Below are 6,726 nucleotides of genomic sequence, written 5' to 3'. Positions count from 1 at the left end.
AATGCTGCCACTGATCTGACAGCAGGCAGAGTACAAGTAGTAAGTCCAGTAATGGGGAGTAGCTGTAAATACAAATGAAGCTTTGCTTCTTTGCCTGCCGCCTACCTCCTGCTCTGCAGCCCAGTCCCTAACAGGCCAGATACCGCTACAGATCTGTTGCCTGGGGATTCGGGACCCCTGCACTAAAAGACCCCTGTTGCATACTTAATAGTGAATAATGTAGCATGAGTGACTTTGTCTCACTTCCAAAGATTTTATTTCGGATATTGTTAAAGAAACACAAGCAAGATTTACGTCTAAAGATCTTCAACTTAACAGAATCCACAGCATCTCCACAGCAAGGGCTCCTCAGCTGATTTTCACCACTCCTACAACTTTTCGTACCACCACCAAGAAAATCAGTGGTTTTATCTGCAAAACCATGCCCATGGGTCCACAGCCATTCCCACCTATGATAGCTGTAATTACCCTAACACTCACTATTTTTTTCTCTGCCAGTTTACTCAATCAACCTTTAAATAATACATATTATTTTATGTCTGATATTTCAGCAGTGCATACTTTTCACCTTTATTATGTAAGAAAATGCTCCCCATAAAAGACATGTCCCGATTTAGACATCTTCAATACCACAGGTGCTGTTATTAGATGTCTGGTGGGCCATCACCATATCAGTCAGGCTTAATCCAACTTGCCTAGGCTCAGTTTGTCATTCTGGAATAATCTTGATTAAAATCAAATACAAATAGTTACACCAAACCTACTACTGTGCTTCTCTGGATTCTGACCACATAGTAAAACTTGTTTGTATTGTTTTCCTTTGAATTTCATCCCTTCCCTAAAACCCACAAGAGAAATTTCCCTTCTCCACACACTATCACTCTTTTCCCTCCTTTCCATGTAAATTGTTCATGACAAAATATATTCACATATGTCCATTACTTTCCATGGATATCAACAAAACATAATTTTCTAAGGAACGACATAGTTTAGTAGTTAATATTTTAAGTGCTACAGCAAGACTTCCTGAGTTCAAAGTTTGAGTCTAAAGCTACTTAACTGGTTTAATCTTCAATCTCCTTACATGTAACATGTAATATAATAGTATTATGTACATACGTGAATATAATAATTTGATGTACATCATAGGATTGTTGTGAGGGTAAAATAATATAGACCATATAACATGGTTAGCGTAATGTCTGGCACAGTATTAGCTCTCAAATTTTAACTGTAGTTATTGTTATCAATATCTACAGTATCACCTTCATTATAATCATTATTAAACCTTCTGGAGCTTCTGATCCTCCAGTCTCCCTCTCACTCTCTGCCTATTTGAGAAGGATTATTCTCATGGTTTGCTTTAAATTTGTATTACCAATGTCAACATTTAAAATAAATTGCATATATATATATACACACACACACATATATATATATACACACATATATATACACACACACACACACATAAATACATTTGAGGCTAGCTTTACTATAGATATTGCAAATAAAGTGAGGCTTTTAATAGAACTAACTTATAGGAAAGATGGTCGAGTTTGGAATCAGACCAAATCAGAGCAAATTTATTTTAAAGCCTGGGTCTATTACCTCTTACTGTGAAGATGGACAATTTTCTCAACATTTTTCTGCTTTCGGTTTCTGTAAATTAAAACTTTACAAGGTTGGTTCAAGGATGAAGAGGGTAACACATGTAAACTACTTTGCATAATAGTAAACACTAAATAGTTGTGTTTCTGCCTTTTGTATATAAAAGGGTATACAAATTATACTAAATTATAAAAGAGTACAATTTATACTCCTTTGAGTATAAATTATGCTTTAAATATCCTAACTGTGCCTTAAACAGGCCAAGTAATGAAGAAGTTTATAGCACTGTTTGGCTGATTGTTGATTAAATCATATTTCATGTGAGTAACCACATTCCATATAAATCTGGCTCTTTCTCCAAATTACCTCTACTAGTTGCTCTCTGAAGTTTTATATCCACAAGTGTACTTGGTTACTTTAAGACAAAAGGAGCTTGTTTGGCAGTAGTATCTGAGACAGTATGAATAACCCCATTCACCTGTTGACTTTCAACTCCATTCTCAGTCTTTATTCTTCCTTGAGTCACAGGAGTCTAGAAACCAGAAAACGAAATCCTATACACGCTTGAAAGCCGTTTTTCAGTTAGAGTCCATAAATGGGTAGCACTGGCAGTGAATTTGAAGGCTAGAGAAAAACAGTTTCATAATTTTCCCGTTCTTCTGTTAATATTTTGTGGTAGCATTAGCAATTAATGACTGAAGGACTGCATATATATTAGAACGCTGGGTTTCTAGCAGTACTGGTGGTAATTTCAGCAGCATCTGCAGCAGGGCAATCTCAGCAATAGTGCAGTTTCAGTAGAAGCAATGGCACTTGTAGCACCACCAGAAGATCAACAGCAATGTGGGCTGATGGGTATGAGCCTATGGGTTGTAGTTGCTTCTTAATCTCTAGGTAATATCTCCTCTTACTGGTTTCTCAAGCACATCGTTTTCCTCCTCTATCCATTTCAACTATTTTGTAATCAATTTCTGGCACAAAGCCCTCTCTGTTTAAAAAATCTAGAGTAGTTTTCTTTCCTAATTGAACAATGACTAATATACCTCCCTTAACAATTAAATTATAAAACATTAATAAATACAACTTTGTACTCTAGAGATGTTATTTATACGACTATATTTAAGCTGGATATGTACTGATAAATTACAATGTTCAAGATATAATGCAGGCAAGGGAGACAGTGTTTAAATATTAATAGGCTGCATTAAAATAAACTATACAACTTATAAATAATTTTAATAAATGTAGAATATGGTAAATCAATGAAAAAAGATAACGTTGAAGAGTTACAAGTTTCCAGAAGATCACCTATTTGTATTAGGAAATAAAGACTTCATGAACCATGTTTACAATACAGATAAAAAAACTAAAGGAAGTGGCCAGGTAGGCTATGGGAAAGAGCACTTACTTGGGAATGATAACCCTGCCATATTGTATGTGTGGACCTCTGGGTAATACATTTTTACATTTTTAGCCTCAGTTTTCTCTTCAACACACTCTCTGAATTACTCTCACCAGGATGCATGGGGGTGGTGGGGAGGAGGATGATGCCAGAATCTATTTCAGAGGATGCCATGTATAATTTGGACAGGACATCTAGGGAAATATATATATTCTCTATCCATTCCCCACTTCCCTGCAGCCATTTAAGAATGAATGTTAGATTTCTAACATTTATTCCTGTATTGAAATTCTAAAAGTGTACGAAAACATGTTAGCAATGATTACAAAATGCATGATATACATATATATGTGTCTTAGAATCACAAATATGTAAAAGATTCTTATTAAAACTAGTAAGAATAAAAACAGTAAGACATGTGAAATTATTCCTACTCTTGTCCTCAAAATTTGTTGAGAGATAATATCTGCTAAAATTCATAAGCTACTTATAGCAAACTCTATAGTATATTTACATTACGTGTATTTTTTACAGGTAGAAGGAAAGCAGGCATAAATTCTACCTAAAGTTTATCATTGGTGGCTAATTTCATTCAATTATGGATATTGGGATGACAGGTAACAGAATGTTCAAAGTAGATTTATGTACATTATTCTTGTATTTCAAACTCTATTGCAAAGTTCTTGAAGACAGAGACCCTGACTAATACTTCTACATAACCTCCGTTGTGATGGGATAATGTGTCAAGCATAATAGTGTCAACACGTAATAGTGTGTCAAGCATAAAAGCATAATAAAGTAAACCAATATTTATTCTATCTATGTTACATGACATGGGAACATTTCATTGCAGAATTTGTAGAAACTCAGATACTATTAAATCTAAATTTCTAGGATCCTGAGGTGGTAAAGTGGAAAAAAAATAATTATCAAGCCGGCACTCAAGACAAGCACTTTACTGCATAAACTAATGTAATCCTCATGGTAGCCCAGTAAGGTATGAATGTTGGTCCCCAAATACAAATGAAAAAAATAAGTTTAGAGAATTAATTTTCCTGGGTCATCCAGGAAAAATTATCCTAGGATGATTGAATAACAAATATGTGGTATATATACACAATGGAATATCTCTCAGTCTTTAAAAAGTAGAAAATCTTTTCATATGAGAACACATGAATAAATCTTTAGGACATTAAGCTAAGTGTAACAATCCAGTCACATAATTAAAAATACTGCATAATTCCACTTATATGAGGTATCTAAAATAGTCAAACTCAGAGAAACAGAGTATAGGATGGTAGTACCAAGAGCTGGTGAAAGGGGAAATAGGGACTTGCTTTTCAAGGGGTATAAAGTTTAAATTATAAAGCATGAATAAATTCTAGAGATCTGCTGCATAACATTGTACCTATAGTAGACAATATTTGTATAATTTAATAAGTTTGTTACAAGGGTAGATCTCAAGTTAGTGTTTTTGCCACAATAAATTTGCTAAATGCTGATAACATACTAAATAAATAAAATTATAGATTTAAGATAATTTTCCCTCAGTAATTTTAAGGCAATACTTCATTACCTTCTAATAGCAGGATTTCTACTGAGAAGTCTGATTTCACTGTTTCCTTATTTATGACCTTATCCACGACCTTTTCTCCATAGCTTTTAGAATTCTTTACCTTCAGTATTTACGATGATTTTATTTTGTTTCATTTTTCCTTTTACACAAAAGGTTATTTCCAAAATTCTAATAACGTTTGGTTATTTATTCAAAATTAAGAGAGCCACTGTGTTAGTCCGTTCTTATGCTGCTAATAAAGACATCCCCAAGATTGGGTAATTTATAAAGAAAGAGGTTTAATTGACTCACAGTTCAGCATGTCTGGCTGGGGGCTCTGGAAACTTACAATCATGTTAGATGGGGAAGCAAACACGTCCTTCTTCACGGGGTGGCAGGACGGGAAGTGACAAGAAAAACGGGAAAAAACCCCTTATAAAACCATCAGATCTCGTGAGATTTCACTCACTAACATGAGAACAGCATAAAAGCAACTGCCCCAATGATTAAATTACCTCCCACCAGGTCCCTCCCACAACACTTGGGAATTATGGGATCTATAATTCCAGATGAGATTTGGGTGGGCACACAGACAAACCATATCAGACACTAAAAGGTGAACACTGAGGGATGGTTGAGTCTAATATTCTAGATTCTTCTGGCAGAATAGTCATTTTGTTAGGCAGCTCTTATTTATCATTGTATTTGTGTATTTTAGGCTGGTCAGTGGAAACCATGAAGAACTGTACAATGTTGCCTACAGATGTAAACCTAAATTCCAGTGATCTAAGAAACCAAAATAGAAAGAAATTCTGAGTTCTCCCTGATCAAGGACCCTAGAATTGAAAGAGGTTGTGAGTTCTCTCCGTTCTTCAGCAGATTTTTTACTCGATCTGTCTTTTTAAGTTTTTCCCTCTCATTTATAGAATTTGATGATCTTTTTGGTTTTCAGATCCATTCCCATTCATATTCGTATAAATACAGTTTGCCTCTAATTAATTAGCCTTTCAGGAATTACACCATGTAGATTGAGTTAATTTTTTTTTTCTCTCATCCGTCATCAGGGACATTTAATCTTCAGCTTTTTTGTATCTGACAATTAAGTTATCACTTATTTATCAACTTTGAACTTAAAATTATTTGACAATTCTGATCTTCTGTCTTCTTCTCTCAATATTATTTGATATATGGCTTAAAAATGCCTTAATAAGCATGTGAATGGAATGTCATGATATATCACAGATAAATGTGTACGCATAGTTTACCACATTTAACCAGAAATCTAAATGATGTATTTATAATCACCTTTCTAGGGGGTATTGATCTGTTTGTTTTCTTTTTTAAAAAATTTTTATAGGTACACATTAGATGGATATATTATGGGGTACTCTTTGTTTTCTATTTCTTCTTGTATCTGCTTTTATAATTTATGCTTTATTATGTTGCCATCAATTTATTCTAAAATTTCAAATCAATTACTATAGAGATGTTCATAATAGACTGTTGTGGTTTTTATTTCCTTTCCATATCAAATATCATATTTTTTGTTTCTTTTTAAAAATCAGACCTTTAAGATTTACTTATTGTATTACTCATCTTAAATAATTAGTTTTCAGTTTCACATATTTTTTTTCACTCTTCTCTCTTCTGATATTAAATTTAACTTTATGTTTAAATCCCTGTTTCTACTTTCTTTCTATTTTTTCTGTTTTTGCTTTACAAATTTCTAAAGAGGTGGATACTGAGTCCATTTATTTTGAGGGTTAAAAAAAATAAAACTATTCAAAGCTATAAATTTTCTTTGTAATAGTTGTTTTCCACGAGGATCAGTTTCTTCTTTGATCCAGAAGACTTTATGAGTGTTTGTTAATTTCTAAAAGCTATTTAATTCAAATTACACTGGATCATGATAAGAGAATATGTTACATCTGTCTGTTTTGCTTTGTTTCAGGTGTACTTTGTGGCTAAATATATAAATACTTTCTGTAAATTAAGGACATAAAAACTATAAATATTTGTTTATGGAATATGAAGTTTTCTGCATTTCGGATAGACCTTATTGGTTGTAGATGTTTACTTCTTATTTACTTCTTGGATCCTTAATCTGTTAAGTTCTGAAAAAAGAGAAAAATATTTTTAATACAAATGAAGGGTTTTA

This window comes from Homo sapiens, chromosome X (assembly GCF_000001405.40).
Source record: "Homo sapiens chromosome X, GRCh38.p14 Primary Assembly".
Classification (NCBI taxonomy): Eukaryota; Metazoa; Chordata; class Mammalia; order Primates; family Hominidae; genus Homo; species Homo sapiens.
This window is presented reverse-complemented; position numbering follows the sequence as displayed.